The sequence below is a fragment of the Homo sapiens genome, chromosome 6 (genome assembly GCF_000001405.40).
Source record: "Homo sapiens chromosome 6, GRCh38.p14 Primary Assembly".
NCBI lineage: Eukaryota > Metazoa > Chordata > Mammalia > Primates > Hominidae > Homo > Homo sapiens.
Window position 1 is genome coordinate 144,290,579 of NC_000006.12, and position 26,789 is coordinate 144,317,367.

General features: G+C 40.4%; 1 protein-coding gene across 1 annotated transcript in view, besides 1 other annotated feature; it reads left to right on the plus strand.

Annotated features, from left to right (window-relative positions):
• The window catches only part of UTRN (utrophin), a 567,700-nt gene that overhangs the window by 5,244 nt on the left and 535,667 nt on the right, over positions 1-26,789 (plus strand). The window contains exon 2 of the mRNA NM_007124.3: positions 1,159-1,329. Coding sequence (NP_009055.2) covers positions 1,251-1,329 — 79 coding nt within the window. The 5' untranslated portion in view covers positions 1,159-1,250. The remainder of the gene's footprint in view (positions 1-1,158; positions 1,330-26,789) is intronic.
• Positions 15,511-15,630: an enhancer, noted in NCBI's record as "active region_25215". NCBI's record gives its function as "activates an Ori minimal core promoter by ATAC-STARR-seq in GM12878 lymphoblastoid cells {active_cell/tissue: GM12878}" and the evidence as "EXISTENCE:reporter gene assay evidence [ECO:0000049][PMID:35858748]".

Below are 26,789 nucleotides of genomic sequence, written 5' to 3' on the forward strand. Positions count from 1 at the left end.
CCAACATATTACTATGAAAAAATTCTCAGACATACAGAAGAGTTGCAAGAAATTTTCATTCAGCATTCATATACCCATGAGCTAGGTTCCTTAATTTGCATTTTGCTATATTCTGCCATAGTCTTCACTGGTTCCCCACATATTACTGTGGTCTACCTACAAGCCACAATCGTCTTTTTTTTTTTTTTTTTTTTTTTTTTTTTGAGATGGAGTCTCACTCTCGTTGCCCAGGGTGGAGTGCAGTGGCGTGATCTCAGCTCACTGCAACTTCCACCTCCCAGGTTCAAGCAATTCTCCTGCATTAGCCTCCTGAGTAGCTGGGATTACAGGTGCACACCACCATGCCTGGCTAATTTTTTTTTTTTTTTTGTATTTTTAGTAGAGACAGGGTTTCACTGTGCTGGCCAGGCTGGTCTCGAACTCCTGACCTCGTGATCCACCTGCCTCGGCCTCCCAAAGTGCTGGGATTACAGGCATGAGCCACCGTGCCCGTCCCTTGACGATCTTTTAAAAAGGCCAATTTGACCATGTTGGTTCCCTCCTTCGAACCATCTACTGGCTCCCCATTGCTCTTCAGATAAAGACACAAACCCTTGACCTGTTCTCCATGGTCCTATCCCTGGTCCTGCCCAGCTTCTTCACCTGGTTCAACAGGTACACTTGTCTCTTGGCTGTCTTCTTTCCAGAAACACTGGCTTGTGCTCCATTCTTTGACTGCTCCATGATTCTTTCTGCCACTTCACATAGGAAGCTCTTACCTTTTCTCTTTCTGTTTCCCTTTTTGGCTAATTAAATTCTTGTCATCTTTAAAGGCTTGGCTCAAATGTCTCTTCAAGAAAGCCTTCTCTAATTGCCCAGGGCAGGTCAGACTCCTCTGCTGTGTGCTCTTAATACTCTGTGCTTCTCCTTTGTATGATTTGTAGTCTGTCAGTATTGTAATGAAATAATTCATTATGTAATTAATTGCTTAGTGTGCATAAGCGCCGTAATGGCAGAGGCTATGTCTCTTGTTCATAGTCATAACACCATTGCCTGGCTTGGTGCTTTACACGTGGTAGGCACTCAATAAATATTTGGTGAATGAATAGTTACTACGAATAACTATATAAAATATATAAATACATTTTTTCAAGTCAGTACTTTCCCTTTTCCTTTTAGGTATTGATGTCAAGCTGAACCATCGTAGGAAGTTGAAAGCCTTAGAAAGAGGACTTGGTAAAGTTTTTGGATTATCTTGAAACTCTGGCAAGATGGCCAAGTATGGAGAACATGAAGCCAGTCCTGACAATGGGCAGAACGAATTCAGTGATATCATTAAGTCCAGATCTGGTAGGTAAAGGAAGCTCAAGAAAGCTATGGATTTTTATGTATTTAGAAAACCTATGTTTCTTGGATTGATTTGCATTGTTCTTGCAAGAACTTCTTGGAGGTGAAGTTCTTTTAAGAAACTGAATTCTGACAAATGACTATAATTTTGTAAAAGGTATATGTAAAAGGTATAATATCTCTGAGTGTCCTATCCTTTCTCAACCCAATTTTGTGCTTAGTGAAACTGCTGCTTGTAGCTAAAGGTTGTTCATTTGGAAGACTACTCCATTAAAATAAAATACGACCGAACATTTCTCTTTCTATTTTCTGGAAATTGAAGGGATTATATGCTTAATGTAGGAAGTGCCACAGTTTCTGGCAGGAAAGATCTTTCACAGTTTGATTTCATTACCATATATCCTCACCCCCATCCCTGTTCATAGCCATTGATAGGCCAACAGGTGTCCTACCTTGAAATATCTTATGAGCCTTCTCAAGGTAAAATTTTCACCTAGGTAATCTAATAAACCAGACTCAGACAGATTCATGGTTTTCACACGAACAGTTAAATTGGGGTCCTCAGGATACCACCCCCTCCTCCAATCTTTTTATATAACCGAGTGCTTTTTGACTCTGGCTGTACAGATGAATCAACTGGGGAGTTTTAAAAAACGCAGATGCATTGGCTCCATTCCAGACCCATTGAATAAAAATTTCTGTATTTTTAAAAAGCTTCAAATATGATTCTGAGACAAACTCAAAGGGGAGATATTTTTGAACAGGCAGAACACTTCTCAGCCTTGAAAATTACACAGAACTCCACCCTGAGTGTGAACACTATACTTAAGTAACTTTGAAAAGTTACTTTGAGGTATAAAATTACATCCAGTGTCACTTTAAAGACAAAAAAGGAACCCAAAGCCTGTTTTTGCTGTGTGAACCATCTTTATGTTCTGTTAGGAGCTTGTTTCTTATTATGTGAAACTGTAGAAATACACAGTGAAAATAAGATCTAAATTAACTGTCTTAAAATACACATTTTCCTCCATGATACCGGTGTTGGTTGATTGATAAAGATTTTAGTTATTACAGATTTGGCTGTAAATATGTAGCAACTATTGTGTAGCTTGACGGGTCTTTTGAAGGTATAGCTTAATATCTTGTTTTAAAATATGCTTTGAGGATGTTCTCTTCCTGTAAAATTCTTTTTGTTTTAAATGTTTTAGTGGTATAAGGTACTACAAAAATGTAAGGGATTATTAATATCATCTTAGGAGTACGGAATACATATTCAGACATATGTAAATATAACAGAGGAAAATGGAAGAGAGACGATTTAATGTCTCCATACTAGTCATTTTCTATAAATTGTGAGGAGGTATATTCCTAAATAGTTTTCTGAGTCAGCCTTCATTCTAGTAAGACCTTTGATATTTATAACTTGTACTTTAGCCGTGTCCATAAAAGAGTAATTATCTAATTTCAGAAATACCGTGTATATATAATGAACATATAAACTCCCAAACTATTTTAATTTAAAATTATCTTTTAAAAAGGCTGATGAACCTAAAATATTGCTGGAGAACAATTTGGCAAAAATGATAACATGTTTTTAACACATGCATATCAATTAACTGAGTAATTCTGTTTCTAGAGTTTTTCCCTAGGCAATACATAAAAAGGTACACTCAAGAAATTGATCACAGTATCATTTATAATAGAAAACATTGTAAACACCATGAAAATCTAATATTAGGAATTGGTTAGATCATTATTTCCCAAAGTATTTCGAAAAGATCAAAAGTTCTAGGATTGTTAATGTGTAATTCACAAAAGGATGTTATGGTCAAATAGCTTTAGGAAATAGTTGTTTAAACCTATTATTCTGTTTCTTTACTCTAGCACATCTGAACAGATCATACATGATCTCAGTAGAGGTAACTAAATTAGGGTATATCCATAAAGTAGAAGATTAAGCATTCATAAAAAGTGATACAGATGTGTGTGATGTGTGTGTGTGTGTGTGTGTGTATGAATATAGAAATGTGTTCTTGATATAGTAAGTAAACAAGTATGTATTATATGAAGTCATTTATATGAAAAATGTTTTTTAAAAATTTAGTGAAGTATACAATAAATGTTAATAGTGGTCATCTTGGCATTTGAGATTATTACTTTTTTTTTTGCTGATTTATATTTTCTAAAGTTCTTCAATGAACCCACATTACTGAGTTCTTATATTTTTAAAGATTATCAAATTGCTTAGAGTGTTTAGATGCCAAGGTTATGACTATTACTTTTTTTGTGGTGGCATCTACTTCAAAACACACTGAAAATTTAGTTGTTACATAGCTCAGATATGAATCACATTCTTTTGGCTGAATTATGTTGCAAAAGCCAGTAGATAAATTTGGATTTGAATGGACCCATTAGTCCCAATCTGGCTTCCTCTAAGGGACTTTTTTTGATTCTTTTAAGGCAAATGCTTACTATACAGAGGTAATATTTCATGGTACTCTAAAACTTACATATTTTAAGAGATTTTTAGTTTAGATTAAGTCATAGGAATTGTCTACATATCATATATGTATTTTAAAGATCCTCTGTCTACATGCTGTATGCCAAATTGGTTGCTTTTCCATTTTTTAAAAGGGAATACTTTCCTTTAGGAAAATTTTGATCCTCATCTGCTCTTCCAGGTTTCTTTTTTGGGGGGAAATTGGATGAAAGTGGGGGGACGGAGAGTGTGGTTTCTGCTCTCCAAATCCTCGAGTTTGGACAATCCAAAAGGCTGGCATAATTAAATTGGCATAATAAAAATGTCTATGCATTTTATGTTAAGTTATTGTGATTATTTTTATTGTCCTCACTTAGTATTACTTTGTTTCATGCCATTTTGAATATTATAATTTTTTAAATTTTATAATTTTAAAGCCATTTCTACCATCTAAACAGAAATAGGAAGTTGTCAAGGGTACGTAATGAAGTAGTTTCATAAATACAAAGCCATGTATTTATTTATGGTTGTAGTATACTTGCCTTGGGTTTGGGTGAGTGTTAGAAAGGAACTGGAAAGAATTTGATCTATAATGACCAAGGATTTGGTGTTGGGTAAAAGTAGACCTGTCTTTCTCTAACTTAAAAGCACATATGCCAAGTTCATCATCAAGTACTGTATTATTAACAGCCTTAATTAGTAGGCTTTAGAAAGTTCAACAAGTTAGTAAATATTTTGAAACAATAGGCCAAGACTAAGAATTTTTAAAAAGTGAAATTTATTGCCAGTAGAGTGTGTGATGCAGAAAGTACTGCTTGGAACATTTTAAACATGAAATAATAAAATGGTTTGGGATGCATATACAATCGAAGAATATCCTCACTGCTATTTCATTCAATAATTAACATACATTAAAGCTAGTAACACAGAATAAGTCATCCTTTTCTGTTGCTGTCAGTGTTGTTGTGGTTTTATCCCAGAGCCCTGTAGAAAGAGTAGACCTCAGGGCTAAGGACAGTGTGTCAGCTGGCTCCATGTGGAGTTCTTGACAGTTTGGGATTATAGACTCTCAGCTGGGAAAGAACTGTTTGATGAATGAAATAGTTGGGCAAGCTTCACATTTTTGGATAATTCAATGTGTTCTTCAAGCGACCTTGGGCTGGAAGCCTGTGTGTAACAATTTTATCATTTCTTCCTTTGCATTTTCTCTTCTTGTCTAATCTTAGGATCTAATTGTTGAGGGAACCTTAAACGCCCTATAACCCAGCCATTCCTGTGATGTGCTCACCCAGTCTCTGTTTGCACACCTCCAATGATGGCATCTCACTGCTGCTGCTGATGATGACGATTCTAGCAACTTACACTAATTGAACACATTCTGTGTGCAGATGTGGTGCTAACAGTTTAATCCTCACAACCGCCATTTTGCAGATGATAAATGTGAGCCATACTGAAGTGATTTGTGGCACTGGACTTCTTTCTATTTCTCCAAAGGCCCAGTGTGTCTTCCTCAGGGCCTTTGCACATCTCTCTTCTTCCATCTTTGCCTGGCTGGTTCCTTCTTGTCATTTAGATGTAGGCCTAATGTCACCTCTTCAGAGATCTTCCTTGCTGACTTTAGAAAGTAGCTCTCCCAGTCACTCTTGACTGCATCTCTGTATTTACGTTCCCTGTGTTGTTCTTAGCACTCTCTGGTACCTTTTCTGGTACTGTGTGTTCATTAATAGCCTTCCCACTAGAACAGGGCTCCCCAACTCCCAGGGCCTGGACTGGTACCAGTCCGTTGCCTGTTAGGGACCAGGTGGCACAGCAGGAGGTGAGTGGTGGCTGAGCAAGCACTACCGCCTGAGCTCTGCCTCCTGTCAGATCAGCGGCAGCATTAGATTCTCATAGGAGTGAGACTCTATGGTGAACCGCACATGCGAGGGATCTAGGTTGCCTGCTCCTTATGAGAATCTAATGCCTGATGATCTGAGGTAGAACAGTTTCATCCCAAAACCATCCCCCTCATCCCTTGGAAAAATTGTCTGCCATGAAACTGGTCCCTGGTGCCAAAAAGGCTGGGGACTGCTGCACTTTAATTAACTCCCCAAGAGCAGGGACCAATACATCCCTGGTACTGAGCCCAATGCCTGGCTCATAATAGGTGAGCAATAAATGTTTATTCAATGATAAAGGCTACAGAGTCTGGAAGTGCCAGAGCTGGCATTTGAACTCAGATGATCTGACTCTAGAAACCCTGCATTTGACCTCTATGGAGTGCCCAGTCTCCTAACTCACAAGACATTTTATTCCATTGCTGCTCGGTGACTCTTCTTCATTTTGTGCCTAATTCTGTCCCTTACACATTTTGCACTGTATTAATTGTATTTATACAGCTCTTCTATCTCTTTTTTTGTAGTTTTCAGGGGTGGGACCCTGGACTGTGAGGTAGAGCTCCTCTGGACCCCAGGTTAGTATCTCAGAGCCCTGACAAGGGAAGGCCAATTGTAAGAGACACAGCCTACTGCTTCTGGGCCAGTTGCATCCTTTCTTGATTTTTGGCTCTAGTCTCTGTCATTCTCTGTTGAGTTAGCAAAGGGGAAAATACCAGAGGACAAACAGTCCTTTGGGTGGAAGATAGAGAAATGGATAATGTGTTTCTGACATGAATTCCTTTTTCTCTTTTCTTCTGACTACTGCTCAAGGCTTTTAACGAGCTGAAGTTAAAAAAAAAAAAGGTAGTGGATTTCATAAGGACTGACATTTGGCACAGTGTAGGTCCTGGTCCGATGCCCAGATAGGTATCTGTGGTACTGAAAGAGTTGGTTGAGGAGTGTAGGGGAAGGAAGCAAAGGGTTGGTTGAGGAGTGTAGGGGAAGGAAGCAAAGAGAGACCAGTGAAATAAAAATAAAACAAATTATTAAATATGAAATATTATACCAGGTTACATTTATAGCAAGCCTCCTGAAAATCTGCTATGTTTGGAAAGTAAACTTGCTTAACAAGATTCAATTTTATGAAAATTCTGAGGAGGATTACCTTATTTGTTTATCTTTCTGAGGCCTTTCTTGAGGAAAGACAGTGGTTAAGTTGTATTTAGGCAGTCATCGGTCTATTTCTTTCTTTTATGTTTAAAGCAGTATCTGTGAGGGGATTTTTCTAAACAGCTCAAGGGACTGTGAAAAAATAGTTCATTTTTTGTTTCTCCTGAAGCTTTCCTTGGCTGGAATACCTGTGCTTTGAAGGGAGGTCTTTGAGCAGGTTTGTTTTTTTCCATGAGCCCTGGGGATTTGTAGTGATAGACAGTAACCCTGATGGAAATTCAACTCTGGCAGAGAAGGGCAGCTATTCTTGTCCTGCTTGTAAAGATATTCTCCATGTTGTTACCTCATTATGCTGAAGTAGTGCAATCATGAGAAAGTTTTTTTGTATTAATGTGATTCTCATGACCTGTTACTATGGTTGTGAAACTTTTAGAGGAGATCCATTCCCGACTGGAAAACGTGAATTGCTGAGGATGATTCTAAGCAAAGGAAGTACGTTAATTATATAGACAGAACAGAGAACTCAATTTTATTGAACCTTATTTGTACCCAGAAGTTTGAACTAGATGCTGATATGATGATTTTTCTGGGAACAAGTCAACATGCAAGACTATTTGAGCAGCTGTAAATATTAGTTAAAATTTAATCTAAAGCAATGGAGAAAGGGTACTCTGCTGAAGTGGTTTCAGATGCATTGGCTGGATTTTTTTTTCTCCCCTTAAATTGTGTGGAGGCATAGACATTTACTATGTTATATTTTTATCTTTTTATATGCCTTAACTGTTTAATAATAAATAGACTTATTTCAATATTTGAAATGTGAGGCAGTATGAGTTCTTAATGTATACTTACTCTCGAGATGATGGCTCTTGGACTGAGAAATTGAAACCAGGTCCCAGTCCTTTCGCTTTTACTTCCTGTGACACTGGATTTGCACATGTCAATTCCAGGAAGCAGGTAGTTTCCAGCATCCATGTGGTTTTCCAATCTTTGCATTTGTGCCTTTAAACAACCAAATACCTGACGTTTATTAATATCCTGTGGGGCTCTTCTATCAGAAGCACATTCTCTTGGCCCGGTTCATAAGGGAAATGTCTGTGTATGCGCATCTGGCAGCTAAGATTAAGGTTTACAGTGGTATAACCTCACCTTCACTTTTAAGAAATTAAGTTTAAAAAAAATGCAGATCTGTCTTTCATAGCAGTGGAGCTCAACAACACATAGAGCATGAGAGTCACATTTTTTGTGTGAATATTTTCGAATGAGCCTTTTTTGGTATGTGGACGGGTGGCTAGTTACATTCAGTTCAATCCTTTTAACATTTAATTATGGAACAAAATCTTTTTTCAAAGTGTAGAGAAAAGCATATAAGGGCATTTCTGATGTAGCAGAGGAATCCAATAAAAAATATGACTTTGTGTCTCTAAAGTGGTACAGCTTTGAAATTAACACATCTGTATAATTTCAAAAGTATGATCTCTTTAGATCTTTTTCTTTAATTTCATAGTCTTAATTTTTGCAAATTTCTTCAACTCCATTCTCTAATTAAGATTTTGGTATACAATATTTATATGCAAAAGATTTTTGGTGCAGGAAATAACATTTTGAGGTTGATACTAATTGATTTGTTCACTTGCCCCTCAAAGGCTACGTGTGAGTCATGTTATTTAACATTGATCCAGTCAATATGTAGATTTATGCACATGCTTTTATTTTGAAAACTAGGTTTTGAGCTTCTCACATATGGAGTTCCTAATTCAAGCTTTATGTCAGAACCACCCTTCTGGGTCCAGACTCAGATATGTGGGGTGGGGTCCCAGCATCTGGAGTTTTAACAAGTTCTGTGGGCTATTCTCTTTAGTGCTCTTAATTTATAGACAAGGAAGGCAGGTTTAAAAGTCATAGAACCAAAGTGAAAATGATCTGCATTTTAGAGGAGCAAGGAAAGCTACAACGTTTATTATTTCTACTTATAAACACTTCCCTTTAAATAATTTGAAAAGATAATAGATTTCATGATGTTGGGCATTTTTTCTTTTACACTGTATTTTGAAGAGTTTGGGTTGTGTTGGGTGAAGTTAAAAGTGAGGAAAGTGGGTCAGGAGAGTGATGAAACCTGGTGCATTTCTTATTTTGGCCCATTGAACCAGAAGATGATACCAATATATCTAGTGCCGACATATTTCTCCACTGCGCTCCTTAGTTATTGCTGCAGTGTGTTCAAGGTCTTCTTGCTGTGAGTGTAACATCACATCTTGAACTCTTTTTCTAGGGAATGCATCAGCTTAGAGTCCGCTGATGCATTCATTATAAAAATGTATTGTGTATATTTTCTATTACATTATTTCAAAGACAGACGTGTTTTTGAATCATGGTGGGAAAAAAACTCCTCACATTCAACCTCTATGCTAGTTTTCTTATCTTAAGGGGGGGTGGTTAGAGAAATGTATTATATATGTATTAATATTTGCCTCCCTGTTTTTTAATTCTAAATAGGTGACATATTTAATATAACTATGCTTGCTTTTGAAATAATTTGCCTACCATTCTTTAAAATGAGTGAATTTTAAAAGATGTATAGTGATTTTTATGTGAAGATGAATTAAAGAGTTAAGTGACATAGACCACCGTAGCATTTTCCCTATGGATCTGTAAAAACAGCCCAAAAGTCTTGTGATTTTTTTTTTTTTTTGAGCCGTAGTCTTCCTCTTGCTCTGTTGCCCAGGCTGGAGTGCAGTGGTGCCATCTCAGCTCACTGCAACCTCTGCCTCCTAGGATCAAGTGATTCTCCCACCTCAGCTTCATGAGTAGCTGGGACTACAGGTGTGTGCCACCATGCCTGGCTAATTTTTGTATTTTTGGTAGAGATGGGGTTTCACCATGTCAGCCAGGCTGGTCTCGAACTTCTGACCTCAAGTGATCTACCCACCTCAGCCTCTCAAAGTGCTGGAAATACAGGCATGAGCCATGGTTCCCGGCCTCTTGTGATATCCTTATATTCAGTTAACCAAACCAAATCAAGTCAAATAACAAACCCCAAACCTTTTATAGACCTTGAGTTATTTGCAGATCTTTGGGGTTATTTACCTGTCTTTTGAGCTTTAATCTTTTACCTCTTTGAAGATACAGGAAGGGATCTTTATTTCTTCTTTGATAAAATAACCTTCAGAGTGACTTGAGATACGGAATTGCTTCTTTGTATATCATTGTGTGGTATTTGAGATCACATCTCAAAATTTAATGAGACCTGCTCCTCAGGCAGTTTTAAGATTAAGGATCAAAAAGGGAGCCACTGGAAAGGTGTGAGTGGCTGGTAATCTATGTTAGAACAGAGACTTTGGTGCAGAGGTTGGCCATGTTCATATGTGGAGTAAGTTTTCATGAAACAGGAGGAAGCCTTTTCTTATTTGAAACTAAGAAACTGCAAAATAAAAGTAATAAAATACCCCGAAGCAAATAGACTTTAAAACAACATTTGGTCCTAAGTTGTATATGACCAATTTCTTAAAGTGATTGTTATATTGCCAGTTTTGAAATTATATTATCTTTTAAAATTTAAAATGTAAATATTGTCTCAGGGGTGGGAGGATGAATCTCCATCTTATTTAGTGTTAAAGGCTCCTGGACTTACCCTAAAGCCCAGCTTTTTCGGTGGGGGGCTCATAAATAAAACTGTGTGTGTTCTAGTTTACTCTGTTACCTCATCTAGTTCCTTTAGGTGATTAGAAAATGCCGTATTAGCAAATATAAAAAGGTTTACTTTTGTGTTTTTACATGTGAAATCAATGGCCAGTTCTATAATGTTAACATATCAGACCCTTAATTATATATTAACTCCCATTTTGATAGTTTGTATAGAAAAATCAGAGTTGACTTGAATTATTTGAACTTGCATACGCTTTTTCAAGATACGTAACGTGTTGTAAATTAGAAGAGTGTTGGTGTTTTCGGAACACATGCATATGCTTGCTGTCTCAGGGCAGCCTTGTTGGGCATTTGGTGTCAGACATACCTTATTCTGAGGGCCTTGGCATCAAGGCAGATTGCTCAGAGAGGGGGTCTCTCTGCATATATGTCTAAGGGAGACATTTAGGGAAGTCTCATGCCATCCTATCTTTCTTTCTTTCTTTTTTTTTTTTTTTTTTTTTTTTTGAGACAGGGTCTTGCTCCATTGCCCAGGCTGGAGTGCAGTGACTCAATTTCAGCCCTCCGCCTCCCAGGTTCAAGTGATTCTTCTGCCTCAGCCTCCCAAGTAGCTGGGATTACAGGTGCCTGCCACCATGCTTGGCTACTTTTTGTATTTTTAGTAGAAGTGGAGTTTCACCACGTTGCCGAGGCTGGTCCTGAGCTCCTAACCTCAAGTGAACCGCCTGCCTTGGCCTCCCAAAATACTGGATTACAGGCGTGAGACACTGCTCATGGCCACCATCCTACTTTCTAACAGCACTGCCCCACCCTCCCCCTCGCCCCAAAAACCACCATGAAGGAGGCAGAGGGCACCAGGTGAAGACTGCCCATGGTCCTTTTCTTACCTCTGTGACTTCGCTTGTTTTGTGTTCTGGGCTTGATTGTTCTCCTTCTCCCTGCGTCCCCAGTTTTGCAACCTCCATCTTTAAAACATCAGCATCAGTGCCACCAGGTGTTCTGCTCTCTGTGCTATCTGCATGCCAGAATCAATCTTTCCCACGTGTTCACTCTTCATTTCTGTTTGTGGCCCTTCTGGCTTGTGTATGTCTATATGCCTTTTTTCATCTGACTTTCTGATGCTAGCCTTTAGCTTAGTCTCCACACACACAGTAAGTGCTTAACAAAGACTTGTGGCCGTGTGCAGTGGCTCATGCCTGTAATCCCAGCACTTTGGGAGGCTAAGGTGGGTGGATCATCTGAGGTCAGGAGTTCGAGACCAGCCTGGCCAACATGCTGAAACCTCGTCTCTACTAAAAATACAAAAATCAGCCAGGCGTGGTGGCACTCACCTGTAATCCCAGCTACTTGGGAGGCTGAGGCAGGAGAATCGCTTGAACTGGGAGGCAGAGGTTGTAGTGAGACGAGATTGTGCCAATGCACTCCAGCCTGGGCAACAGAGTGAGACTCTGTCTCAAAAAAAAAGACTTGCTATGCCTTTTAATGGTTTTAAAAATTACACTTGCTTACATACATACCTCATTCATTCAGCAAATGGTTATTGTTCATTCATTGTTAGATGCTGGGCTCAGAGATAAGCAAGACCCACCTCTGTTCTTAAGATGCTCTCAGGCTAGTTGGAAAGAAAGACATCAATAAACATCCCCACACAAACCAGGGACACATGGAGGGAGGAAGGATGTCTTGCTTTGGTTGGAATGAGGGTAGGTTTGAGTAAGAGAGCGTGAAAGAGGCAAGGAATTTGAGGTGTGCCTTGAAGGATGTGTAAGAGGCAACGCTGTGGACAGTGTGGGAAGAACATTGCAGATGATGAGAAAAGAGCAAGGCATTTGAAGTCTGTCCCTGGTAACTGAGTGTGGCTGGGGTAATGGGGATGATGGGAGAAGCTGGGGTCAGATTTCGAAAGCCCTTTTGAAGCAGGGTTTATTTGATCTTTCCCTGTAAGAAGCCACTACAGGATTTTAGGTGAGTTAATGACTAGCTCAGAACTGTTTTTCAGAAAGATAACTTGGCTGGCAGCAGGAAAGATAGATTTGGAAGGTAGCAGAGTTAGGGGGAGGCAGGGAACAGGTAAGAGTTGTGAAAAAATTGAGGTTAAGGAGTATAAGGACTTGGACCAGAGTGGTACAAGAGGAGACTGAGCAGGGGAAAGGATGTGAAAAGTGGTTAGCAGTTAGTAACAGGGTGTGCAAAGCCTCAATGTAAACTTCGCCTTTGTGGGATTTGTTAGTTAGTAACAGTATGTTTAAAGCCTCTAGGTAAATTTCACCTTTGTGGGACTTTTTAGTAACAGTATCTATAAAGCCGCAATGTAAACTTCACCTTGGTGGGATTTGCTTTATGTTTTCAATGAGGTATGTAGTTTTTCAAATCGTACTGTAATTCAGATTTTCAACACTTTCGGTTATTAGCTTTTTCTCTAGAATTTTCTTGATCAATTTCTTAACCGTTTACAGTTACTTCTACTTCTTACTGAAGTTGACTACTGCTGTTTTTCTCACAGTACCTCTTGGTCAGTTTATATGGGGAACTTCAAATTCAGTTCAGCTGCAATAGGATCTGTATTTTTTTCTATATATATTCTGAGAGAAGGGTCATGCTTTAGGAAAAAGTTGATGAAAATGAGAAAAGAGATGGTTTATTCATGTCTATGCAGTATACTATTAACAGTTCTTTGAAAAAGTAGCAAAGAAAGGTAATGTTAATCTCATCTTAAATGAAGGTAAAACTCTTGCACAGCTAAGAGAAAATCTATATACTAAAAGAGTTTGGAAAACTACTTCAGAGGAACTTTAATTAAAGAGTAGTCTAATGTGATGCTGTGAAGATAATGCCATCCTCTATTAGTAATTTCAGCTTCAACAAATAGGATAGAATAAATGCAAATTAAAAATAAATTAGGAGCAGATGTTGAGAAATATCTTACATTTAGGGAATTCTTAAGTGGTAGAAGGGCCCTGGAGTTCAGTTAATAAAGCTGGGATGCTCAGAAATTATAATAATTCAGGTAACAAATGCTTTCCTTAATGTGATGCTCTGCTGTGGAGGTTTTGGGAATAGAAGAAAGAAGAGGCTGTTATTGTCATACTGTTTGTAAGTTCATCTTTCTTTACATTCAGTGGATAACTAAAATCTACTATATATGCTGATATTTCAGAAATGGTGGTTCCCTTAACCTTCAAGAAAAAACAAAAGCTCTCATTTGTAAACACTTGCAAGCATTCTTGGGTTGTCTCTTGGTGGTACCCAAGTTTTTGCTTTGGCCGGTAAGAGACTTTTGCATAGTACTTTGTTGCCTTGCCTCTACAACATGTTAGGCTTGTGGATTGGCGCATGGTGAATAAGACACAGTTCCAGTTGTCGACTGTCTGTCACCTAGAGAGGGCAGGTACACAGGAATTTAAGAAAACAGATTAAACAGGCAGTTACACAGTTGTAAAAGTAAAAACAGCACAGATTGCTGTGTGAGCTCACGGGAGTGGTACCTGACATCCCAGGGCTTCAAGGAAGGCATCTTGGAAGAGTGGATATCTAAGCTGAGATCTGAAAGAATGAGTGGGGATGTGGGGAGGCTGTTAAGACAGAGGGAGTTGATGACAAGAGGTTTGGAGGTGAGAATTGTGAGGTTTTCAATATGGCTAAAGCAGGATGCTGGAGAATGAAGCTGAGAAGAGTGTTATAAGCCATCTTTAGGAGTTTGAGTTGTATCCTAAGCATAATGGTGAATCTTTGAAAGGGCTTTAAAATTAAAAAAATTTATATTTATATATTTATCATTTTTAAAATTCTGAAGTATTCAATCTAAAAAAATGTACAGGAAATGATATATCAGATATGCTCGTGCCCTCATTTGAAATTTATCAGCTGTTAATGTTTTGACTTTTTTTTTTTTTTGAAATGGAGTTTCACTCTTGTTGCCCAGGCTGGAGTGCAATGGCGCGATCTCGGCTCACTACAATCTCCCCTTCCTGGGTTCAAACAATTCTTGTGCCTCAGCCACCCGAATAGCTGAGATTACAGGCATATACCATCATGCCCAGCTAATTTTTTTTGTATGTTTTGTAGAGACATGGTTTCACCATGTTGGCCAGGCTGGTAATGTTTTGACGTATTTGATTTAGGTTGTATTTTAAAGAGCTAATTATGTCAGCATAGATAAATCTTAAAAACAATTTGACTACAAACAAAAATCAGGTTGCACAATGTATTGAATGGTACTGTATATAAAGCTCATATACCTGCAGAAATTGCCCTGCAGTGTTTATGTATTCATATTATAAATATATAGCAAAATACAAAAATTTTTATGGAAATTATAAACACTAGATTTCTTTAGAGATAGTGAGAGAGGAGGTTCTTCAGTTTTATCTATAATATTTAATTCCTCAATGAAAATAGAAATAGAATCTTAAATTAATATGAAATAATGCTGATTTGTGAACTGAGTGATGACTGTCTTAAGCCCAGTTCCTTGGAAGTAGGATTTGAGACAGAGATTTGTGTGCACTTGAGAACAATTCCTGTTAATGAAAGAAATGAGGGAAGAAGGACTGGGCCAGGGAAAAGCTGAAGTGTAGTTGAGTTACAGCAGGGCCACCATTGGATCCATAGGGAATGCTGGTGCTGGGATGGCCCTTCAGAGATTTCCCAACTTGAGGCAATGTGTTGAGCCTGGGGACCTTTGCCTTGACCAGTAGGCTTTTGGCTGACCCTGGGAAGGAGGTGAGGTGAAAATCTGGGCAAGGTAACTTGGCCAAGGGCAGTTCCTGGACGGATGCTCAGCTATGAGCCCTCAGCTGCTGGGGGAATGAATTTGTGCATTGCCTTGCCTGAAAGGCAGATCTGGATAGGAGATTCACTGCAGTCATGGACCTTGTACCATTTTCTTTTGCCTATTATTGTCTATTTCTATGTCTGAAAGATATGACATATTAAATAAAAAAAGCTTCCAATTTCTAGGAGCAGTATTCACCGAACTACTTCCCTGACACATACATACCTCACACCCTGCACACACCACACACCACAAACCGTAGCTGTAATATCAGGTTACATACTTTCTGTTTTATTTTCCCTTTTCTCTGTGTTTTTGGTTACTTGAGATGGCCTCCTCTCTCTCACTCCTGGTTTGGGAAGGCCTTGCTTCCTCTGAAAGCTTGTGAGCAGAGGGCTGATCTGATCAGATTTGCTCTTCTGAGTGGTGCTCTAGAAGCCACGTGGAGCATGGATGGTGTGGGGTGTGTGCTGGATGAGGCAAGCCTGGGGTTCTGGAGGACCTTTGGGTGGCTGTCACAGTTAGAGGATAAGAGGTATTGAAGCCAAAACTGAGATTGAGGTAGCTGGGAAGGAGGAGAGGGGAGAGTTTAGAAGCTTTAGGTAGGAGGCAGACCTGATAGGACATGGTGGTGGTCTTCAGATGATGGGTGGTGGATGGGATGGAGAGAGAAGCCTGGTTTTTGACTTTAACACTCGCAAATGAAGCCTTTCTTTCTAGGTTTTGTGGAGAGGGCAGTGCATAAGGGGATAGTAAGTGAAGTTCTAGATTGAGTTTTGAGGTGCCTGGAGATATCTGGGAAAAATATGTAATATATATATTTCTCTTACATGTATGAGACTGGCTTGGGCTGGGGTCTGCCCTTGAAAACTGGCAGCTGGAGTCTTGAGTACTTTCCTGAGTCATTTTTTGAGCTCTTTGCAAGATAATGTTAAAAATTCAAGAGGCCGGGTGTGGTGGATCATGCCTGGAATCCCAGCACTTTGAAAGGCCGAGGCGGGCGGATCACCTGAGGTCAGGAGTTCAAGACCAGCCTGGCCAACATAGTGAAACCCTACCTCTACTAAAAATACAAAAAAAAAAAAAATTACCTGGGCATGGGGTCGCGCACCTGTAGTCCCAGCTACTCAGGAGGCTAAGGCATGGGAATAATTTGAACCTGGGAGGTGGAGGCTGCGGTGAGTCAATATCACATCACTGCACTCCAGCCTGGGTGGCAGAGTGTGACTCTGTTGAAAAAAAAAAAAATCAAGAACTGTTGCATATTTTATTTATCTTTGTATTTTCTGAGATATTTTTGACTGACCCTAAAATGAGCATCTGGATGGTAGATGACGGCAGCGGAAGATGAAGAATTAAGAAGTGGTTTTTGATTTGTAATATTTTTTAGTAGATATTATTAGTTGATGCCGCAGTTGTTGACTGTATTTATCTCCCAAGGGCATAGGAAGCCCCCTTGCAGATATTACTCTACCTAGCCTGACTGGGTGTTTGGGGAGGGAGAGAAGAGGTTAACAATAAATCCTGCAATATGTGCAGAAGTTTTTACACTTGTGTTTCTGCATATTTTCTTAGAAAAAGGGTCCACAGTTTTCATTATATTCTCAAAGGAGACCTATGACTTAATGAAAAGTTAAGTCTTGTTAGAGGAAGAGTGACATATTATAGGGTTATGTCTTCATAATGTTTCTTTTTTTCTGAAATTAGATTGGCAGTCCAATACGCTGGCACGAACTGAGGGTCTCACACTTTTGCTGTAACTCAAATTCTGGTCCTTACTTTACTTCTACTGCCTTAAAGCCACTCAAACAAAAGACCTGATTGCTAGAATTAGGTTGAGAAGACACAAAGTTTGAAGGGCAAAATTTCTGATAATGTTTGACCCAGTTTTGCATATAATGTATTTTTATTTGTTGATGAATATTTCCCTTTTGTTGCTAAAAGTGGCAAATAATCAGACATAGATTACTAATTAACAGTCTGCCTCAGTTTTTTTTTTTTTTAATTAATGAAACTTGGGCTTCATCAAGCTCAGGTGGAATGGATATCACAGTGCTTTATTTTTTCTGACATCAAAAGAAATTTCTTTGTCAAAGTGTAGACATGTTTGTTGTGACTGCCTTTTGTGTGGGTTCTTTTCTCCCAGCCCTCTCCTACTACAGGAGAGAGAGATAATGGCCCTTTGCTCCTCATTCCGCATTCAGACCAGATTCCCCAGCTGCAATCTCCTGCCATCGGATTGCATCACCAACTCAACCTAATTGGTGAGATGTCACTCCCTCCCTCCACCGCTCACTCTCATTTCTCAGTGAGTTTAGCTCTGTCACTCTCTCTAAAAGTTACTCTTGTTTTAGTGATTTGGGTGTAAACATTGATGATCCTTCTAATACTCTGTCCTCTTAATTTCTCTAAGTTCTCTTTCTAGTGATCTTGTCTCCCAGTGTGGTGGGTATATTCTGGCTAGACCAGGTCATTGTTTATGGTGGCAGCCCCTCTGTCATCTGAATTTAAGCGTCCCATTTTTTCGGTACTAGCATGGCTCACTGCAACCTCCGCCTCCTGGGCTCCAGCAATCCTCCCACCCTCGGGTAGCTGGGGCTATAGGCATGTGCCACCACGCCTGGCTAATTTTTGTATTTTTTTTTGTAGATAAGAGGTTTCACCATGTTGCCCAGGCTGGTCTCAAACTCCTGGGCTCAAGCAATCCATCCACCTCAGCCTCCCGAAGTGTTGGGATTACAGGTGTGAGCCACCATGCCCGGCTGACTTTGCCTACTCTTGCCCTAAGAAAATTGAAGCAAACCAAAGAGGAATCCAGAAACTTCAATACCACATCTATCCTCAACCAGAACCCACCCAAGGCCACCCTAACCGTGTACATTGTACCCATCCTCCTTTACTTACTCAAAGTCACCTCCCTTCTCTCTTCTGCATCCCTATGATTTCCCCTTTAGTGGATCCGCTTACAAACATGCTATTGTTTTTCTTCTAGCAAAACTTTACTTTGATCCCACCTGTCTCTGTAGCTACCACGCCATTCCTCTGGTCCCCTTTATGAAAGAGCTCCTCAAAGATTGTATGTACCAACATTTGCAGTTCGTCTCCTTTCATTCCCTCTTAAGACCACTCAAATCAGGCAGACCCCCTACCAGTCCAGTAAAACTGCTCTTGTCAAAGTTATTAGGGACCTCCTTGTTGCTAAATCCAGTAGCCTGTTCTCAGTCCTTACCTTATTCCACCTCTCAATAGCATCAACACTGCTGATCACTCCCTCCTCCATGACTCTTTCTTCATTTGGCTTCTAGGACACCCCACACGCTCCTGGTTTCCCACCCATTATCTTTTGCTGATTCTTCCTCTTAACGTTGGAGGGCCCAGGACCCAGTCCTTGGACCTCCTCTCTGTCCCCACTGTTGCCGTTTGTCATCTCACCAGTATCCTGGTTTAAATACTATCTGAATGCTGGCTCAAATTTCTATCTCTAGCCCAGACCTCTTCCTCTGAACTGCATACTTGCATTTCCAGTTGTTTACTTCACATCTTCTATGTTCAGATCTGAAAATCTGAACTCCTGATCTCCCGTAAACCCCAAAGCTGATCCCACAGTCTTGCTTGTCTCAGATAAAGGCAATGTGATTCTTCCAATTGCCCCAGTTTTGGAGTCATCTTTGTAGTCCTTTCTTTCTCGTATACCCACATCCAATGCAGCAGATCCTGCTGGTTCTATTTTCCTAATACTGAATTTATACAGAATCCGGTCATATTTTACGATCTCCACTGCTACTGTCCTGGTCTAGGGGACCATTGCTTTTTCTGGAATTGCCTCCTTACTTGTCTCTCTGCTTCCTCCCTTGGCCCATGGAGGCTGGTCTGAACCCCACAGTAGAGGGATCCTTTTCAAATCAGAAGTGGATATGTTGCTTCAGGTTTCCAAGTCTGCAGTGACTCCCCATTCCAGTTGTAATAAACGCGAAAGACCTTACAGTGATCTACAGGACCCTGTTTATCCTGCCTGGCTTCATCTCCCCTTACTAGTTTGTGCTCATTATATGAGGCAGGCACCTCCCAGGTCAGGGCCTGAGCCCTCTTCTAGCAGATAACCTTGTGGCTAACTCCCTCCTCTCAGAGAGCTACTGTGCCAGTCAATTAAAATAGCAAATCCTTCCCTCATTAGCCCTCTCCACCCACTTTATCCTGTTTCATTTTTTCCCATAGCACTTACTGGATTATGCTGATTGTCTTTTTCCACTAGAATGCAGGTATTTTGTCTAGGTTGAATCACTAGTATCTAGAACAGTGCCTGACACATAGTATGTGCTCAATAAATACACGTGTGCAGAAGCAAATCACATTTTTCATTGCTTTCCACAAGTGTGAGCCTGGGCTACATAGTGAAACCCCATCTCTACAAAAGATATAAAAATTGGTCTGGGTGCAGTGGCTCATGCCTGTAATCCCAGCACTTTGGGAGGCTGAGGCAGGCGGATCACCTGAGGTTGGGAGTTGGAGACCAGCCTGGCCAACATGGAGCAACCCTGTCTCTACTTAACATACAAAATTAACCAGGCATGGTGGCTCATGCCTGTAATCCCAGCTACTCAGTAGGCTGAGGCAGGAGAATCGCTTGAACCTGGGAGGCGGAGGTTGCAGTGAGCTGAGATGAGCCATTGCACTCCAGCCTGGGTAACAAGAGTGAAACTCCGTCTCAAAAAAAAAAAAAAAAAATGGCTGGGCATGGTAGTGCATGCCTGTGGTCCCAGCTACCTGGGAGGCCGAGGTGGGGAGACAGGGATCACTGGGCGTGGCGGGGGGTGGGGGGCGTGCCTGTAATCCCAACTACTGGGGAGGCTGAGGCACAAGAATCGCTTGAACCCAGGAGGCAGAGGTTGCATTGAGCTGAGATCGTGCTACTGCACGCCAGCCTGGATAACAGAGCAAGATGCTGTCTCAAACACAAACAAACAAACAAAAAACAAACAAGTGTGCAATCCCTGAGAAAAATATCAGTTCAATCTTTGTTGATCTTTATTGTCCCGATTGATTAGCTGCATGTCAGCCTTTGACTGTGTTTCCCAGATGCTCACGACAGATCGATCACTTGATGTTGTTTTCAACAGGCAGTCATGAAATGAGCAGACTGAGGTCAGTGTAGTATAGATATTTGTCAGCGTGGTTGCCAACTGCCTTTCCTCTTCTAAGATTGCCCTTTATTGTGTGATTATATTACATTTTTAGTTGGCATGAAAATGCCCATTTAGTGAAATGATGAGGATCTTCCTGGGGGAAGAATTCTGGCGTAAGAAGCTTTCTTCAGATTACTAAGCACTCTAAAAGGTCCCAGGTTATGGGGCTCTGGAAAGTAACGATGCGAATACTTCACTTGGTTATGTGATTTTTATTTTTGCCTTGGAAGTCTTTCTGCAAACAAGTCTTCCAGTGGAGGCTCATTTTAGGAATGTGACGATGCATTGCTGATAGGTAGGATGTGGCTTTCTATACAGCAGAGTTTGGGGGGTGGGACTGGCAGGTGAGTAGCTCAACCCAGGCTTCTGAGGGTCCTTCATGTCTTTTGGAACACAATTTGAAAATCACTGCTTTAATTGCTAAATTCTAGAAAACCTGGATGCCCTATTTAAAAAAAGAGCTTAGCTTAGTGTCAAAGAGGAACTAGGTTCCAGTTTTAGCTCTGCAGATCACCAGCTGTGTGACCTTGAATATGTCACTCAAGCTGTCTGCACAATTAATTGATTTGTTTGTAAGGTAAGGAGTATGGACTAGATGACCTCACACTGATCACTTTCTAAGCTCCAGAAAACCTAATTGTTAATGCTTAATTGTGCGAGCTGTGCTCGGGAAGGGCTGTGTTCTAGTACCTTCTTCCTCATCACTGTCATTTCAGTATTATCTACACTGATCTTCACAAATATTCTGCACACTTGGATTCTAACCTGCAATATTGCTGTTGGGGTTATAGAAATATAGATTATATGATGGTATTTAGGGTAAGCATTTTTATCTCTAAAATGAGTTAGATATCAAGGATGGCATGGTATTAGATTACACAATATTTGAAAAGAATAATAAGAAAAATCCTGCAGGATTTAAAAATCTTATTAGTACTCTTCTGTAGAAATACTTTAGGGAATGGTTCAGACAGTATCAGGTGCTGTGGGTGTAAGCATGGCCACCTGCTAGCTCTGTGAACCTGGACAAATGGCTTAGCTGCTCTGTGCCTGAGTAAAGTAGAGATAGTAATAGCATCAACCTCCTCGTGTTGTAAAAAGTAAGTGAATTAACATATATAAAGCAATTTGGGGCCAGGCGCGGTGGCTCATGCCTGTAATCCCAGCACTTTGGGAGGCCGAGACGGGTGGATCACGAGGTCAGGAGATCGAGACCATCCTGGCTAACACGGTGAAACCCCGTCTCTACTAAAAATACAAAAAATTAGCCGGCCTGATGGCAGGCGCCTGTAGTCCCAGCTACTCGGAAGGCTGAGGCAGGAGAATGGTGTGAACCCAGGAGGCGGAGCTTGCAGTGAGCCGAGATTGCGCCACTGCACTCCAGCCTGGGTGACAGAGCAAGACTCCATCTCAAAAAAAAAAAAAAAGCAATTTGGAACATAGAAGCACTCAAGAAATGTAAGCCGTTACCTCCATACAAATAATTATTATAATGTGGGTTTATTTCTTTCCAGTCTTTTAAAATAAGCATGTAAAAATAGTTTTAATCATATTGCACTAGGAAGATTTGTTTTTGTTTCTTAAATATATACAGAATTTCCCTTTTTCTGCTTCTTTATATTTAATAACAAGACATTCTAGGATAGACTAAGCCTTTTCATGGCTAATTGTCCTGTGGAATTCTTTTAGTTTTTCTCTTCCATGTTTATATATTTGATATGATTTTCTGGTAGAATTCTTGAAAAAATAACTGCATCACACAGTAGCTCTCCTCTCCCATTTTATTTTATTTTACTTGCTGAGGCTGGATATTATATTCTTTTGGCTGAAGTCACCATAGTGGATTCATACAACTAATTTCCAGCCAGTTTATGTAGATCATTTGCAAATGTATTAGTTACAGAGAGGCTCCAGGGGTGTACCAAAGAAACCTCAAAATACAGTGGCTCAAATAAAATCAGAGTTTATTTCTTTCTCTCCTTACAGTTCAGAGTTGGTGGGTGATGGAGGGTGGGAAGGTGGCTCCGCTTCATATGGTCTCTCAGGGATCCTGGTTCCTTCTCTCTTGTTCTGCCTTTCCAAAGTGTTGTTCCATTTTCTTGATGAGGCTTGCCCCTCAACACTATGTCAAGTTCTAGTCCAAGGAAAGAGAAAAGAGAAGTAAAAAATAAGCAATTTTTTAAAACGTGCATGGCCCTCAGGTTGCATTCCTGATTTCTTTTCACATCCCACTGGCTGCTGCTTAGCCACGTGGACTCATCTTGCTGCAAGGGAGGTTGAGAAATATGGCTTGTGCTGAGCTAGAACTGTGGGGATGGAGGAGAAGAGCAGGTTTCTGATACTGAAAAAAAAAAAAAGAAAAGAAAATAGAAAGGAGAATGGATAATAATAAATATACATATGCTTTGATCACAATTTCATGGGCCAAGTTTGAGTTTGGAATTTTCCAAGTCCTCAGATTCTATGACAGAACATGGTGGTGGAGAGAGCTGCCCCCTGGCTCCAGTTTGCAGACTTTCCCCTTTGTCTGCCCATGCTGGCTCCATTTGGCACTGGGAAGGGCTTTGCACCCAAGTTTGTGGTCAGTTGGCCAAGCACCCATGGTCTCCCACTCTTCCCCACTTGCAAACAGTAGTGTGGTCCACCCTTGCTTGGGAAAGAGCCCAGTGCTCATTTGAGCAGTGAGTACTAGGACCCTGTGCCTCTAGACCGTGCTTTAGGACTTGCATATCCCCTTGGTCCTCTGATTTCTCTATTTCTGGGGGAGAGATGGGGATGGAAGAGGGTAGAGTGAGGCCCTCTAAAAGTCAGGATTTAAGGCAAGGTCCTTGCTTGTCTAGGTCTACAGGTGATGCTACAAAGAGAATGTTACATTGATTCAGTTCTTAAAATTTTCCCTTTTCCTCATGCTTCTGTTTCATTAATATTCATATTTACTTTTTATAATATACATGTTATGTCTTTAATACACTAGGAGTAGAATATTTGTAATGAAATGGAGTGCTGTTTTAATGGATGAGAAAGGTAGGGAGGGGCTCAGAGAGGGAGGCTGGAGAATATTCACTTATTTAGCTTAATGTTTTCAACAGCTTAAAAAAAGAGAAAAAACAACCTTTGAGTGGCCCTTGTGATTAAATGGCAGTTTGCCCAGACTAGAGGGAGCCAGCGTTGGGAATAAAAACTAAGATTCACTTTGAAAATCTAGAAAAAAAAAATGACTACACAAGTCATAAGAATGTGCTTGATGGCTTGGGTTGTCTGAGTGCAAGTGAAGTAGGGCGCAGGCCTGGTTTCCGCATTCCCTGTCTGCTCAGCCTTTTAGCTCCTAACCCCATCCACTCCCTAGAGCTGGCCAGCCCAGACCCAGGACCTGGATGCTGACCTCTTCAGGGCGGAGCTGTTGCTGTGCTCAGACATCGTGACAACTTGTTGATGGGAAATGTAGCTGAAAGTCTAGCACAAAAAGCTGCTCTTGGGTTGGCCAGCGAACCTCCTTCATGGTAAAACTCCCCATCCCTTATCCAAATCCTTGGGACCAGATATGCTTCAGAATTTATGATTTTTCTTTTTCCCATTTCAGAAAGGCTATGGCCCATATGCCCTATGTTACATAAAGCCTCCAGAGGAGTTTGGGACAGTACCCTATCATCCAATATCTTCATCATTCTGCAGAAAATGTATGAATATTTACACTAAGTGGAACACAAACAGGGTTATAAATAGCCTCAGGTCAGTTCAGGTCACGTTTTGCTGCCAAATGGGTTATGGAAAAAGCCTTTGGTTTCCAGAGCTTTTCAGATCCTGGCATTGTGGATAAGGGATTGTGCACCTGGTATGGTGACTGCTTTCTCAGTGTCCATTTGGTGCCATTTTACATGTATTGCATTTGAAGTACTCACAACAAAAATACCTATGTATATATATACCTCTCTCTATATATTTTTTTCCTTATTTATTTATTTATTTATTTAACAGCTAAGGAAACAGGTTTCATGAGCTCGAATGGCTTACACAAGATCAAGAGGAGATGATCTCCTTTGCAAACAGAGGCCAGGACCCAGGGCCTGGGCACTTAGTGGGCTATAAGAGTTTCTAATTTGCTTGTTTGAAGCATTGGAACATAAGCCAGCCTGCAGAATCCTGTTTCACATTTAATGGTAGCTGAAAGACAATACTGCAGTAAAAGTGCCATAGGATGTAATTATCCTAACATTGTTTCTTAAGAAAAGACATCTTAAGTTCAACCAGCGGGGTCAGGAAGTGGGGTCCCTGGCCTGAACAGTGGCTTATCTTCCTTCCTGGATGGCTGGCAGGGGCAGTAGGTCAGTCAGGGCACTGTTCCAGGACCCAGTGGCAGTGTGGGCAGCACTGTGGTGAGATGGGAAGAGAGGAAGGAAGGTTCGGGTGCTTGATGTGCATTGAAGGGGTCAGGGAAGGGGGAATTGGCTACTGGCTGAGGTTCTGACACTAGTTGGACAGGGCCCGATGCCAAACTCTTGTTCTTGTTCTCACCTAGAAATTGCCATTAGTTAGTGCTGCTGCTGGGCATTATTTTAACTTAGACCAAGGCAGCCCTTTTGCGTGGGCAATTAGATAACGGCGCCCACTCTGGAGAGACACAGTCTGATGGACACACTACTTCGTGGGCTGTGCCTTTGTGCAAAGCAAAAGGTGTTCTTTCCTCCGTGCCGCTGTGCTGGCTGGATTTCAGCGTCGTTTTTCACCTTGGCCTCGTGCCTTTATGCAGTGGACAGATTTCAGGCAGCTTGGCATTAGTAGGAATCTACCTGAAAAGCACTTTATATGTGTTTGAATCCTTGGCATGATCTGGTGATGATCTGGCAGAATAGGTATTACCATGATTTGCCAGATGAGAACGTCATGGCGCTGTGAACTGCTGAAGGTCGCCTCGGCTCCATTGCTATCTGGACAGGACTGTTCCCTGTACACTCCCTCTTTCAAAATGGAAGAGGCAGCTAGAGGATTTCAGGATACATTTCCCTCAGTTGTTTCCTTCTGCACTACCTTCTCATCTTTCATGGTTGTATTAAAAGTGGGGCCTGGCACAGTGGCTCACGTCTGTAACCCCACACTCTGGGAGGCCGAGGCAGGAGGATTACTTGAGGCCAGGAGTTCGAGACTAGGCTGGGAAACACAGTGAGACCCTGTCTCTGCAAGAAAACAAAAAAAGTCTCTAAAAAACAAAACAACGGATAGACTGATGTTGGTTCCTATTTGGATATGTGTGGCAATTGGTGGCTCTTACTGACCCCATAGCTCTCATTCAGGTGGTTTGTGTGATAGTGGGCACAATGTTGTTGCCAATTGAGTTGAAAATGCTGTCATGTTGAAAGAAAACATCGGAAATGAGAGGGTCTGGGTAAATATATTAGTAGTATAGCTGTTGCTTTGTTTGCAGTCTCTTCACTTACATTACTTTCATTTAAAATTAACCATAATCTGTTAAACTTTTACTTCCAATAATGTATGGGTTCAGGAGTCTTAGCCAAAGTCAATGTTTTTCACAGGAAGTATCTGGATATACATTAACTTTTAAAATTGTAACCAGTTAGTTTCACTATAAAAGTTAGCAAAGTGTGAATGAATTGATCGCTTGCTAATCTGGAGCACACAAGGGAAATTAATTTTAGATGGAGAAAATATTTCCTAAAATAACAGAGGGAGGCAGAGAGCTAGGTGTATGTGTTGGGCCTTTCAAATATATTATTTCATTTACTCCCTACCATAATTTTATGGGGAAGATATAATTGTCAGTGTTTCATAGATGAGGATATGCTTGTTATTAGTTAGGACTTAGAGTAAGTTTTTTATCATATTTAAAAAATGCCCCATCTAATTCTGAATTCTTACAGAGAGCCACATAGGAAGTAGGATTTTGAAAAAGCAAAAATCAACAACAATGCAGAGAGGAAGAAATGAGTGGATTGGTAAGATAAGGCCATGGGTAGTTCACAGAAACTGCTTGCTTTCTCTAACATGCTTGCTCCCTTTGGTAAACTTTGGATGCATATTTGTCTCAAAGTGTCATATTAGACAAAGCAATAAGAAAATGGTTAGTTTTAAGATTGACATAATTCATAAATTCTCACAAATACATTTGATGAAATAAGGCAGTTTGTGTTTCTCCTGGTCCTGAGGACCCCCAAAACTCAGAACCTCATAAATAGGACAGCGAATGATATGGAGGAAGCTATTTCTTCAGCTACATGTGATAATCTAGATGAATAGAACTCTCATTTGTGGCATCCCATATTGTAAACCAGTTACAGTACAGAAAATCATTTTAAAAAAAGAGAGATTGCAGGAAGTTCGCCAACGATTTGCCTTAATCCTGA